Here is a 14,153-nt window from a genome sequence, read left to right on the forward strand (position 1 = left end):
TTCATCTGCTCTGCAAAGGCATGGGGACATGTGATTTTGAGAGTACCGACTCTACTCCCAATGCATGGCAGTCATGTATAATAATTTAGGGGACAGTGACTCCATTCACAGTTCCAGAGGTAAACACCCCTCCAATTGACGAAACCAATCAGAAAATCCTACTCTTGCATAGGACTGTTTCAGAGATGGGCACAAATCTCATCCTAAGCCAATCAGAGCACGGCACTTCCCTCGGCCATGGCGATTGATTCAGAGATGGGCATGTGACTGGTTTGCTCAGTTAGAGTGAAACCTAGGATTTTGTCTGATAGTCGAGGTAAAGACACTTTTCTTCAGGAAGATGTGGTGTATGGAACTGTTCCAGACATTTTGTCACCATGATAAAAGTGAGTCTGAAAAGTAAACCATCATGTTCAGGAAGGCAAAATCAAGAGAACTGCAGAGCAATGGAGTTAGCACCCTGATCAAGCCATTCCTGAAACTAGTGTTTACCCATTTTTATTTACATAAATCAATAAATTCCTTTCACTGTTCACATTATTTTAAGCTGGGGTTCTGTTTCTTTCAACTAAAAGCATTCCAGTTGGTACATCAAACATTGGCTTGCCGTTTAAATACAGTGGGTTCTAATGGGGAGATCTGCTCTCATTGTGAGAGCACCTTAAAATGGACTCAGTACTTGGGATCAATCTTTAAAAACAAAGTCTAACTACACACTATGTTAATGAGAAATGGGTGTTTTACTCAAAGTGTTATGGAAACACTGGGGAGAGAATTTACATGACACATGAAAAAGCAAAACTTAATGAGATTCCTCATCGCCCATCCCCATAGGACTTCTGTGATGACACCTCTTTTGCCTTTCCTTTTCCTTTTCCTTTTTTCCTTGAAGCTTCTAACGTCTCCTTAGTAACTGCACTCTCATCCTCCATTAATGTTCTGCGTGTTGCAACACCCAAAAAAAAATAAAACAATAGCAACGATTAAAAAAAAAAAAAAAAAGGAGGGCCTCTGTCCCTCTAGCCTGTTCCCAATCCCAACCCAAGGATCTTCCCAGAGAGTAGTTCAGCTGCTGAGTAATAGTTCCATATGATTATCTACTGTGTTCTAGAAATACACAAGGAATGCTCTTGGGCTCTTGTGCGATCCTCTCATCTTTGCAGCCACTCCCACAAGAAAGAGGACAAATCATTACCTCATTAAGTGAAACTTGAACTTTACCCAGCTCCAACTCCCTCCCTTGGGGAATTTGGAAGAGAGAAATCACAAAGCTGATTGAATGTGATAGACTTACTTTCTGAGTGATGTTAAGAATAACACATCTTTCTATAACCATCTAAAACTATCTTGGGATTCAAATCCTTTCAAGTCAGACAACCTCCTTCAGTTCAAACATCACCCATGGTTAGCCATTAAATTATTCAGGAATAAAGAAGGCTCTATGGTTTCTCACTGTGTGCCAGGAATTGTGCTGGGTGCTCAGAGCCCAAAGCTGAGTGAGACACAGGCACTCACATCCTGTAGTAAGAAGTGGGTATGTAGTTTTCTTTTCTTGTGATGTCTTTATCTGACATTTGTATCAGAGTAATACTTTGTCTGACATTTGTATCAGAGTAAAGTATTCCTTCCTCTTCTATTTTTTTTAAATAAGAATTTGCAAAGGATTGGTGTTAATTCTTCTTTAAATATTTGGTAGAATTTACCAGTCATCTAGTCCTGTGATTTCCTTTTTGAGAGCTTTTTTATTATGCTTTAATCTCTTACCTTGTTATAAGCCTATTCAGATTTTCTATTTCTTTTTGAGTCAGTTTGGTAGTTTGTGTGTTTCCAGGAATTTGTCCATTTCATATAGATGAATTTATTGGTGTACAATTCTTAGTAAGAAGTGGGTATACAAACCTATCTCTGTTGTAGAAGATAAATACTAAAATAAAGCCTGACAACAGTGTAACAGAAGCCTGCAGAAGGGAAGGCTTAGTTGTGTTTGGAGTTGGGGAGATGAAATAGATTCACAGGAGAGGTGATTGAAACCCACTGGGTGCCATAGAATGAGTAAAAGTTGATTAGGTGAAGATGTCGGAATGGATAAGCATGTAGGGCATTCCATGTAGGGAAATAATATGAGTAAAAGCAGAGAGGAATAAAAATTTCTGGCATGTTCTGAGGCCATGAGGTGGGAAGAGCACAAAAGAGTATTTCTAGAAAACGAGAGAGAGAGAGAAAGAAAGAGAGGGTAAGATTATGAGATTATGAAAAGTGTTTATACCATGCTAAGGATTTTGTATTTTGTTTCTTGATTGATGGGAGGCCATTGACAATCTTTTTTTTTTTTTTTTTTGAGATGGAGTCTTTCTCTGTCACCAGGCTAGAGTGCAGTGGCACAATCTCGGCTCACTGCAACCTCCGCCTCCCAGGTTCAAGCGATTCTCCTGCGTCAGCTTCCCAAGTAGCTGGGACTACAGGCATGAGCCACCATGCCCAGATAATTTTTGTATTTTTATTAGAGACAGGGTTTCACCATGTTGGCCAGGATGATCTCGATCTCTTGATCTCTTGACCTCGTGATCCCCCCACCTCAGCCTCCCAAAGCATTGGGATTACAGGCGTGAGCCACCGTGCCTGGCCCCCACATTGACAATTTTTAAGCAGGACTTTAAGACTATCAGGCTTGTGATTTTTCTAGGAAGACAGTTTTGGTTGCTGTATTGTGAGTGGTTGGAGGGGAGGGACTGGTGGCAGGGAAACTAGGCTGTTGCTACCACCCATCATGAAAGATGCTGGTAGAGAGATGAGGCCAAGCAGAAAGGAGAGGGAGGCTGGATGTCTGAGACCCTGAGTGCTGGAATCAGTAGGACATAGAGGCAACTAGCAGTGACGGAAGAGAGGGAGAGCACGCAACGATGAGGTTGAGGCTTCTAGCCGGGGTTGTGTCAGTCCTGCAAGGCAATGAGCAAGTTCAACCTGTGATGCTTCAGTACATTCTATTTGCGTATCTATGGAAGACAGTTATAGACATGGCTGCGTTTGTGTTGTCACATTAATCATAAAAGCTTTCAGGGGAAAAAAATCCAAAGGGAATAAAGATTTTCTGAAAAGCATTCTTGTCTGAAGGAAGCTGCATGCAAATGGAAAACCTGGACATATAATTGATTTCAGTAACCATAATGATATTGTGTTTTCTTTCTTTTTTTTTTTTTTTTGAGACGGAGTCTTGCTCTGTTGCCCAGACTGGAGTGCACTGGCCCGATCTCGGCTCACTGCAAGCTCCACCTCACAGGTTCACGCCATTCTCTTGCCTCAGCCTCCCAAGTAGCTGGGACTACAGGCGCCCGCCACCACGCCTGGCTAATTTTTTGTATTTTTAGTAGAGATGGGGTTTCACCGTGTTAGACAGGATGGTCTCGATCTCCTGACCTCATGATCCGCCCGCCTTGGCCTCCCAAAGTGCTGGGATTACAGGCGTGAGCCACTGCGCCTGGCTGACATTGTGTTTTCATTCAGGTTGTGCAGTGGGGCTTTGAAAATGTGAGAAATTGACAGACAGGCCCTGGTTAGGGGAAACAAAAATGGTTTCTAGTTTCAAGGTTGAATATGTTTCTTTTCATAAAAATACCCCATCACTTCTAACAGTCTGACTGACAGTTTTCTCTTCATTAGTAGATAAAACCTAACATTTTCTAGACAATAAAAAGCAGTCTGAGAGATATGGATGACACATTTAAAAATACTAACTTCTGCCCTGGGTATTGCCCTGTGCACCGAAACCTAAACTCATAAGATGTTATTGAGGGGAGCGAGTACTCTTTACCTTGCAAAAGGATTCACTGCAGGATTAAATACAGCTGGAGAATTTTAGAATTTGAAAAGACGTCAGGGGACCTGCTCCTTCAATCCCTTCATTAGTTATTGGTGAAAAGTGAGATTTAAAAAGCTTAAGAGACTTGCTTAGAGTTATTCAGCAATGCCAGAGCCAGCGGGTCAGAGCCAGCACTGTTCTGTTCATTCTCAGTGCTGGTCTCTTTCCATCAGGCCCTGTATGATGTAGAGATGCTCCAGCGATGCTGCTGCTGCTGATAACCTGGTCAATATTTATCGAGTGCTTTCTGTGTGCCAGACACAGTTCTTTTATTTATTTATTTATTTTTTTATTGATCATTCTTGGGTGTTTCTCGCAGAGGGGGATTTGGCAGGGTCACAGGACAATAGTGAAGGGAAGGTCAGCAGATAAACAAGTGAACAAAGGTCTCTGGTTTTCCTAGGCAGAGGACCCTGCGGCCTTCCGCACTGTTTGTGTCCCTGGGTACTTGAGATTAGGGAGTGGTGATGACTCTCAAGGAGCATGCTGCCTTCAAGCGTCTGTTTAACAAAGCACATCTTGCACCGCCCTTAATCCATTTAACCCTGAGTGGACACAGCACATGTTTCAGAGAGCACAGGGTTGGGGGTAAGGTCACAGATCAACAGGATCCCAAGGCAGAAGAATTTTTCTTAGTACAGAACAAAATAAAAAGTCTCCCATGTCCACCTCTTTCTACACAGACACGGCAACCATCCGATTTCTCAATCTTTTCCCCACCTTTCCCCCCTTTCGATTCCACAAAACCGCCATTGTCATCATGGCCCATTCTCAATGAGCTGCTGGGTACACCTCCCAGACGGGGTGGTGGCCGGGCAGCGGGGCTCCTCACTTCCCAGTAGGGGCGGCCGGGCAGAGGCGCCCCTCACCTCCCGGACGGGGCGGCTGGCCAGGCGGGGGGCTGACCCCCCCATCTCCCTCCTGGACGGGGTGGCTGCCGGGCAGAGATGCTCCTCACTTCCCAGACGGGGTGGCTGCCGGGCGGAGGGGCTCCTCACTTCTCAGACGGGGCGGCTGCTGGGCAGAGGGGCTCCTCACTTCTCAGACAGGGCGGTTGCCAGGCAGAGGGTCTCCTCACTTCTCAGATGGGGCGGCCGGGCAGAGACGCTCCTCACATCCCGGACGGGGCGACAGGGCAGAGGCGCTCCCCACATCTCAGACGATGGGTGGCCAGGCAGAGACGCTCCTCACTTCCTAGATGGGATGGCGGCCGGGAAGAGGCACTCCTCACTTCCTAGATGGGATGGCGGCCGGGCAGAGACGCTCCTCACTTTCCAGACTGGGCAGCCAGGCAGAGGGGTTCCTCACATCCCAGACGATGGGCGGCCAGGCAGAGACGCTCCTCACTTCCCAGACGGGGTGGCGGCCGGGCAGAGGCTGCAATCTCAGCTCTTTGGGAGGCCAAGGCAGGCGGCTGGGAGGTGGTTGTAGCGAGCCGAGATCAAGCCACTGCACTGCAGCCTGGGCACCATTGAGCACTGAGTGAACGAGACTCCGTCTGCAATCCCGGCACCTCGGGAGGCCGAGGCTGGAGGATCACTCGCGGTTAGGAGCTGGAGACCAGCCCGGCCAACACAGCGAAACCCCGTTTCCACCAAAAAAATATGAGAACCAGTCAGGCGTGGCGGCGCACGCCTGCAATCGCAGGCACTCGGCAGGCTGAGGCAGGAGAATCAGGCAGGGAGGTTGCAGTGAGCCGAGATGGCAGCAGTACAGTCCAGCTTCGGCTGGGCATCAGAGGGAGACCGTGGAAAGAGAGGGAGAGGGAGACCGTGGGGAGAGGGAGAGGGGGAGGGGGAGGGGGTGAGGGGGAGGGGGAGAGGGGGAGGGGAAGAGGGGGAGGGGGAGGGGAAGAGGGGAGAGGGGAGAGGGCCAGACACAGTTCTAAGCACTTTTTACATGTTACAGCATTGCTCTCACGGCAATCCCGTTAACAACACTGAGGCAGAGCTGAGACACAGAGAGATTAGACAACTTGTCTAAGGTCACACAGCTCAGAAGGACTGGTCTCGGGCTTCTTATTCAGGCCATTTGACTTTTGAGCCCATGCTCTGAACCACAACAACAACAACACTGTCACTTTTCTTTAGAGTGACTCCCTGACCAGCAGTCCCCATAGAGAAATGTGTTTCCACTCACATATCGAAAGGAGAGTACTTCTCTACTGAACATCGTTTCAGTGCTAATAGCTAATAGTTTAATAAAACCAAAGCTTGGCATCATACCTTTTGGCAGATCTTTTTAAAGTTGTCATATATAGAGCTGCCATTAAAGTTTGTAAAGCTTTGTGGATAAAAGTAGCATGAAAAGCAGCTCGTATGATGTGTGTGACAACAAACAGAATTGTGATCCAAATTACAGGTGAAACGGGACAGTGGCCTCCCAGGGAGGCTAGAAATACCTGCAGAGGCTTACAGAGTGAGATGTTTGTAAATAAAGCCATTCAAACATCAATTGTGTGTGGTTTTCTTGAGAAGCAACTGTATTTAAGGGACTCCTTATATAAAATCAAGTTCTTCTTAGCAAGGATTGCTTTAAATATTCGGACTTGAATGAAGGCCAGCCATGTTCTGCCATTTTCAAAAATCTTGTAATTGAAGTCTTAGAGTTGATTTTCTTTTCATTTGTGATTAATTTCCCAGAATAACATTCCCAGCTCCCACCCCACCCAGCATTTACAGTCCAGAGATTGAGTGTAGGAAGTCTTAGTAAAGCCCGAAATCTAAAACAAATAAGACCAGTCAGTTCTCTAGTTAGCTTTTTTCCTTTCAAGTCGTTAGCAATATAAACTCTGGAAAGCCTAAACTTTAATGCACCCATCTCAGCAACATCTCCTATAACGATGGAAAGGCATAGAAAAGAAGAAAAGGGAACATTATTAATCTTGTGGGAACGCTGGAGTTTTGTCTATTTTCACAAACAGCGTGAGCCCCAAGTCATTTAAATCCTCTGGGGGTGGGAGACATAATTATTTGCAAGGGAACATTATTAGCTAAGTACAAATGGGTTGCTATTTGTTTTCTCTGTTCTTTGTGATGATTACAGGCTGGGGATGGTGTTTAGTAACAGGATCCAGCAGGTCAGTTATGACAACTTCATCATCACTGTCATTAACCCCTTCTGTTTGCAGTGAAGACAAAAAGCTGTTCAGTATTAAAAGAGTCAAGAAAAAGAGAAAGAAGAGGGGGTGGAGAAAGTGAGACAACCAAAGAGACAGCCAGGGAACAGAAATTCATACACTATGAACACCGGAAAAAAATACCCCTGGGTAATTGAGTCAGCTGACTCAAATGGTGTAGGGGCCTCAGTTAGAGGACCAAATTTTGGACTCCTTGTTCTTTCTGCCAAAAGAGTAATTGTTCTTGTTTGTAAATGCAAATGTTTTTGCCATTTTAGTTCTGAGAAATGCCCTAGGGAGATGTTATTTTTGGTAAGGGGTCTTCCTGCTTCAAGTGTAACAACTGTGAACAACTAGTTTCAGCATCTTCTCTAGCATGCCAGGGTAAAATGAAGCAAAATAAACAGAGGAAGTGACATGACCTTTATTGAGGATCTACTGGGTGCCAGGCAAAATGCTTTTTTTTTTTTTTTTTTTTCAGACAGGGTCTCACTCTTTCACCCAGGCTGGCGTGCAGTGGTGCAATCTCGACTCACTGTAGCTTCTACTTCCTGGGTTCAAGCGATTCTTGTGCCTCAGCCTCCTGAGTAGCTGGGTTACAGGCGTGCACCACCATGCCTGGCTAATTTTTGTATTTTTAATAGAGACATTATTTTTAATGTATTTTTCATGTTGGCCAGGCTGGTCTTGAACTCCTGGCCTCAAGCGATCCACCTGCCTCAGACTCCCAAAGTGCAGGATTACAGGTGTGAGCCACTGCGCCCGACAAGGTGCATTTTTATGTGCTTTTTCTCCCCTGTCTTCTCAACAACCCTGGGGTAAAAGGCCTCATTTCCACTTTTCCTATGAGAACAATAAAGTAGAATGAGGTTAAGAGATTGCCTCTAAGATCACCCAGCCCAGAGCAGGGACTTGATTTCAGGTGTGTCTTGTTCCAAACTTACTACAGTGTGCTGCTGGGGGGAAAAAAAAGCAAAAAGCAAAACCCAAAGGGTTCTTAACTGAAGTCAAAGATGACCAATAAAATGTAGGCAGATGTCAGGTCTGATCATGTGGATGCTCAAATGACAAACAGAAACATTGAGAGAAATTGCATTAATTAAATCATAAAAATATGTTCTGATTTTTGGAGAATTTACTCCTCCTCCTGGGGTGACCCTTGACAAGACATTCTGTCTTCCTATTTTTAAGCAAAAAAAAAAAAAAGTGGGTAGAAGATGAAAGTTTGATATTTCGCTCATGCATAGCTTTGTCTCATTAATATATTTTGTGCTTGCCTGTCATTTTGGCTTTCTGCTGCCAGACGAAGCTCCTTCGACTGCCATTCCTACTTCTGACACTCCTCTTGTCCTTTTCAGGATAACTTTATGCCTATTGTGCCTTGGATCTTGAAAAACGTGGTAAAACTGGCCAATGGTGACGGCAGGCATAGCAGGGAATCAGATTGAGGGGGGTGGGGGTGGGGACAGAAAATAAAAGAGGGCATCAGGCTACTTGATGATGGAATCAGGCTGCTTCTGCAATGACATTACATGAAATATCTGAAATTTGACCTTAACTGTATCTGGTGGGTCCCATTAACCCTGTAAGTTTAGACAGAACATTTACTCCAATTCTAGCAACGTCTAGGCTCATGGGAACACGTGACCAATTCAGGTGAATGAAAGGGATTTTAAAACATCAATTTCCAGGTTAAGTCTTCCTAAGACTGCCTGCGTGTCCCTTACCACCACTCCAGCCTGAGTGTCACATGAATACTGAATGCGGACTTGTGTGCAAACTGTAGAAAAATTAGAAGCAACTGAAAACCCCAGGCAGCGGAGTGGTGTGATGATGAAAGACACCGAGACGGAAGATTGGGAAGCTGGAAATTACCCCCCAGCTTCGGTGTTTGGGCTGTATCTTGCTTTTCCACTTCCCTAAATCACCCTCGTGGTGCGAGCGTGCTCGCAGCAGATGCTCCCTAATTGTCTCTTGTATTGACCGTAAAACCCTAAGGGCAGGAATACTCTCTCTCCTTCTATTTCAACACCCAAACTAAAACCTCTCACCTGAGTGTAAGGGCGTGCTGACCTTCTTAAGCAGAGAGCTCTTCCATCAGGGGGCTCCCTAAGGGCATCTCTGTTCCTAGCGGCGAAGCCCTCACCCCACTTTGCTCTGCTTAGCCTGAGACACGCAACTTTCTCCAGCCTTTACTCTTCGCTGAATTCTCACGGCGGGCTTGCGGGTACGTTCAGGAGCGAGGTTGGGGGCCCGGCCCGCTGGGCGCTGTTCACAGGTAGCTTGGACCAGAGCAGGGGCTTCATCATTACCTGCGGGGACAGGTGGGACACATGCATTTCCGGGGTCATCCCAGACCTCCTGGAGGATGCTGATTGATGCTGTCCCGTTTGAGAACTACTGTGTCCAGGTAGCAGAGGCCTCCCCGATGCCCCTTGAGTAGTGGGCACGGGGCCCAGGGCTTCTCTGGATGAGCTGGGCGGGCATGAGAACGCATGGAGCTGGGGGCAGGAGGTCGGAGCAGCGAACGAGGAGGAGAAGGAGTAGGCGGAGGCCGAAGGAGAGGTGGGGGAGGAAGAAGAGGAGGAGGAGGAGTCCCTTGTGGCCACCCCGAAGGGAGGGAGGGCTACCGTAGAGACTTGGTCGAGAGGCGCGGGACAAGCCTGGCCGCTGGGACTGTGCGCTGAGGTGCACCGACCGTCGGGCCGCGAGCTCCCCGCAGACCCTCGCGGAATGAGCTGGGGGGCGGCGCGCGAGGCGGCGGAGCGGAAGGCGCACTGCGACCCCGGCGGGCTACAGCCTGCGGCGCTTGCAGGGCGCTGGTGGGGCGCGCCGAGCAGGGGCTGCCCTGGGGCTGCCCCAGTCCCACCAGGTCGGGGCTCAGCTGGCGGCGGCGGCGGCGGTGGCGGCAGCGCGTCCCATCCGGGTCCGAGTAACCGCCGCCGCCGCCAAAACTCGCCAACGTGGCGGACCCGGAGGCTGTGCTGGCAGATGCCAGTTACCTGATGGCCATGGAGAAGAGCAAGGCGACTCCGGCCGCCCGCGCCAGCAAGAGGACCGTCCTGCCCGATCCCAGGTACCAGCTGCCCCGGCCCGCGCTGGTCCCCACGCCGCCGTCCCCAAGCGGCCGTCAGCGACCTCCTGCGTCCGGGAGGGTCGGGCATTGAGTCGTCGCTGTCCTGGGTGCGGGTGACACCGCGGAACTGGCGATGCGGGGCCGGCCTCCCCGTTCCAGTCTCTGAAATGGGGCATCGGATGGCCGGTGGGGGGGACTCCGGGAGAGAGCGCTCCAAAGTGCCCAGCGCGGCGCCCTGCGCGCAGCGAGCGCCCCAGGGAGGGGCTGGTTATGACTTGGCTGGACCAGCTCCATCCCTGTCGCCCCCTCCCCCCGGCCCTGTCCTGTCCTGTCCCATCCCCGTGGTTCTTCCTGTTGCATTGGTGTGGTCCCTGTGGGCTCGTTGCCTGTCACTCCTTTGCGCTCCTTCTTGGTCGCTGCTTCTTCCCCGGCTCTGTGGTCCCCCTTTCCAACTCCATCCCCTCAGCTCCCTCTGGGCCGCTTATCTGGGGACTGCAGGCTTGTTGCTTACTGTCCGAGGTAGTTAAACTGCTGTTTTCAGTGCTTGTTCTTCTTGAAGTCCCTAAGTCTAGTCACCTTCTTAGGCTCTTCTTCTATTTTGTGCCCAGGCAGGATTTTTGACCCACTCAATAATCTTTTTGGTGCCACGTGTGTCACCTGAGCTGCTTTTCTCAACTTGCAGATCTACTGGTGGCACTTTATTAAAAAATTGAAATGGGATTCATTTAAAAAGGCACTTGAATGGATGATTCCAGACAGGAATTTGTTGTTAAATTATCAAAGGAGGGCCCGATTGAATTGGCGAGGGGTTTGGTGAGGTCCATACCAAGTTGCAATTTTCTCTCAGATGATTTATAATTAAGGAACTAGTAAAATTTTTTGCTAGTTCATATCATTAGCACTTCCCCAGAAAAAATAGTTCTTCAGGTTAGTAGTGAGTTTTAAATAGTGTATTAAAGCTTCAGTGATGGTTTTTTTTTTTTTCTCTAGCTCCTTTCCTAATTAACACCATCATGAGTTGTACAGCTAATGTGATTCCTTGATGCTAAATAGCTCTTGGAATTTGATGCTCAAAAGAGGCATCTTGTTTATGGTGAATTTGAAACCATGCAATTCTATAAAATATTGGAATCTAAACCAAAGTTATTGTCCATTTGAAATCATCAGGCCTTCAAGCGTTAGGCGCCCAAGATTGCTTAAATGTTACCTAATGCTAAGTGATCATCACATGATTTTTTTTACAAGTCCATCTATGAGCCCTATGATACAGAAAATACCAGTCCCCTTGTTATTTTTGAAAAGCTAAATTGTGCAAATGAAGACATGCTTGCTAGATATTTTGGGCTTGCTTTTCTCCTTAGCCCATGCCTCTTGTTGGTTTTGCAGGATGTGCTACTCTTTGATAGGCAATGCCAAGTAGTGAAAATGAGGGAAAAGTGCAAACCTTTCTTCAATGTCATGAGTTTAACATCCCTATTCCAGAGTGTAGCATATCTGAAGCTAATTGAAAAAAATCAATGCTGCTTAAAATTTCCAGCAAATGGGAAACTTAGAGAACAAGAACTCCTATATCAAACCTAAATTTCACCGAAGAAACTGTATATTTCTATAAATGTGGTAGAAAAAGGCTTAATTCCTTTTTCTCTTGCCTTTCCTAGTGTCCCCCACCACCACCACCCAAAGTCAGGGAGTCCTAAATATTGTAGGGTTTCTAGATATAAAATTGATGAATCTCAACTCATGGGCAGTTATTTTTGGGGGGTGTAGTTTTTTGTATTTAGTCGAGGCGGGGGTTTCACCATATTGGCCAGGCTGGTCTCGAACTCCCGATCTCAGGTGATTCACCCACCTCAGCCTCCCAGAGTGCTGGGATTACAGACGCGAGCCACCGTGCCCAACTGAGATTTGTTTTAAAATGCTTTAAAAACTGGAGGTGGGATAAGTGGTGATAGTGGCTCATGCCTGTAGTTCCAGCACTTTGGGAGGCCGAGGCGAGCAGATCAGTTGAGACCAGCTTGGGCAACACACCAAAACCTCATATCTATGAAAATTAGAAAAATTAGTTGAGCAGAGTGGCACACACCTGTAGTCCTAGCTGCTTGGGAGGCTGAGGTGGGAGGATCACTTGAGTCCAGGAGAGTGAGGCCGCAGTGAGCTGAGATGGCACTACTGTACTCTAATCTCAGCAACACCGTGACTCTGCCTCAAAACGAAAAAGAAAAAAAAATGGAGGGCGGGGTAGGGAAAAGTAGCAGATTACAATCTTGGTAACTTCCAATGAGGTGCTGAGTGATGGGTCTAGGTGTTCACTACATTATATCCTTTTGCATGTTTGAAAACTTTTGCAATAATTTTTCAAAACAGTAGAGAAGATGGCCAGGTGTGAAGATCACAGCTGTGTCCCTGCAGGGCTAATGGAAGCCTCAGTTTTCCCAATGTCATGTGTAATAGCACTGGTGACTTAAGATGTACTATATAATTTCTATGACAGCATCATACACAGATGCAAGATGCAAGTGTACTGCATCTCAAACAACTTAGATTGATGGGAGGATGATGTGTTTTTTGGAAACTGCATTAGATGACTCAAAAAGAGGCTCTGTGACACTGATTACAAAGATGCGGGTAGAGTTTTAAGAGGCTCGTTTGCAACCTAAGAGTCCCGACTAATCCAACCAGAGTGGACAGATTTACAACTTCTTGACCTGAAGGCTTGCTGTAGAAGGATGAGAAAAAAAAAAAATGCAAGAAGGCTATTGAAAGTAGAAAGCACAGTAAGAGATCATACTTCAGAAAACGATGATCTGTTTACTTCCTGAGTGCAAAAGACTTCACTGACTTCATTCAGATCATGGGTATCTATTAAATCGCGGCTCTGATGTTTAAATTTAGCAGAAAAAAAAAAGTAACCCATGGTCTTTAAAATAATCTACCCTCTAAGCATACTATCCATGCCTAAGGAAACCTTGCAATGTAAGTCTCTCTTATTAAAATTATGTTAACAGCTATTTTTTAATTACTTGAATATTAATTTGTGAAAATATTTCAAAATAATCATTTTAAAATGTTTCATGGCCGGGTGCGGTGGCTTATCATGCCTGTAATCCCAGCACTTTGGGAGGCCGAGGCGGGTGGATCACCTGAGGTCAGGAGTTCGAGACCAGCCTGGCCGACATGGTGAATCCCTGTCTCTACTAAAAATATAAAAATTAGCCAGGTGTGGTGGTGGGCACCTGTAATCCCAGCTACTCAGGAGGCTAAGGCAGGAGAATCACTTGAACCCTGGAGGCAGAGGTTGCAAAGAGCCGAGATCACACCACTGCACTCCAGTCTGGGCGACAGAGCGAGACTCTGTCTCAGGAAAAAAAAAAAAAAAAAAAAAAGGCCGGGCCCTGTGGTTCATGCCTGTAATCCCAGCACTTTGGGAGGCCGAGGCAGGTGGATCACGAGGTCAGGAGATCAAGACCATCCTGGCTACCACGGTGAAACCCCGTCTCTACTAAAAATACAAAAAATTAGCTGGGTGTGGTGGTGGGTGCCTGTAGTCCCAGCTACTTGGGAGGCTGAGGCAGGAGAATGGCGTGAACCTGGGAGGTGGAGCTTGCAGTGAGCCAAGATTGTGCCCCTGCACTCCAGCCTGGCCAACAGAGCGAGACTCCATCTCAAAAAAAAAAAAAAAAAAAAAAGTGTGTTGCTCTAAAACAGGCCTCACTAAGTATTTTTGTGTACTTTTTTCTTTGTTACTGTCATCCATTGTCGTTCCATTAGGTTATTTGGGGCAGGCTAACAGGACTTACACGATCCTTCCTGAGAGGTCCCCTTGGTTTCTCTCACTTCAGCCTTGCCCGTGGTCCCTTAGATTCTGTCGTTGAGCTGTAGTGACCTGGGTTCTGGGGCACCCTGCAGTTGCCCCTGTGGAGGCTGACCCGTCACACTGTGTTGGGACTGTCTGTGTCCTCTCCTAACAACCCCTCTGGACATGGGCTCCTTGAAGGCAGGGGATGAGTGGGGTTCACTGTGTATTCTGAGGGTCAGATTCAGTGTCTGGCTCAGGGTAAGGATGCAGCATCTATCTTTTGAATGAGCGAATGGGTGAATAAACA

At 47.1% G+C, this 14,153-nt stretch overlaps 1 long non-coding RNA gene across 4 annotated transcripts, besides 3 other annotated features; it reads right to left on the minus strand.

The window, feature by feature from the left end:
- Window positions 4,072-4,762: an enhancer, noted in NCBI's record as "NANOG-H3K27ac hESC enhancer chr22:25673044-25673734 (GRCh37/hg19 assembly coordinates)". NCBI's record gives its function as "activates a minimal SCP1, AML or CMV promoter by ChIP-STARR-seq in naive H9 embryonic stem cells {active_cell/tissue: H9 hESC(naive)}" and the evidence as "EXISTENCE:reporter gene assay evidence [ECO:0000049][PMID:30033119]".
- LOC105372969 (uncharacterized) lies at window positions 7,384-10,061 on the minus strand. Of its 4 annotated transcripts, none has more exons than NR_188583.1 (3): window positions 9,977-10,061; window positions 9,048-9,286; window positions 7,384-7,817 (listed from the first exon to the last, which is right to left on the minus strand). It is a non-coding gene; the product is annotated as an uncharacterized LOC105372969 (long non-coding RNA). The 4 variants fall into 4 exon arrangements; NR_188582.1 differs by having other exon boundaries at window positions 9,026-9,286; NR_188581.1 differs by having other exon boundaries at window positions 7,384-8,380; window positions 9,026-9,286.
- Window positions 8,758-9,692: an enhancer, noted in NCBI's record as "H3K4me1 hESC enhancer chr22:25677730-25678664 (GRCh37/hg19 assembly coordinates)". NCBI's record gives its function as "activates a minimal SCP1, AML or CMV promoter by ChIP-STARR-seq in primed H9 embryonic stem cells {active_cell/tissue: H9 hESC(primed)}" and the evidence as "EXISTENCE:reporter gene assay evidence [ECO:0000049][PMID:30033119]".
- Window positions 9,693-10,625: an enhancer, noted in NCBI's record as "H3K4me1 hESC enhancer chr22:25678665-25679597 (GRCh37/hg19 assembly coordinates)". NCBI's record gives its function as "activates a minimal SCP1, AML or CMV promoter by ChIP-STARR-seq in naive and primed H9 embryonic stem cells {active_cell/tissue: H9 hESC(naive and primed)}" and the evidence as "EXISTENCE:reporter gene assay evidence [ECO:0000049][PMID:30033119]".

Source organism: Homo sapiens, chromosome 22 (genome assembly GCF_000001405.40).
Source record: "Homo sapiens chromosome 22, GRCh38.p14 Primary Assembly".
Taxonomy (NCBI): domain Eukaryota; kingdom Metazoa; phylum Chordata; class Mammalia; order Primates; family Hominidae; genus Homo; species Homo sapiens.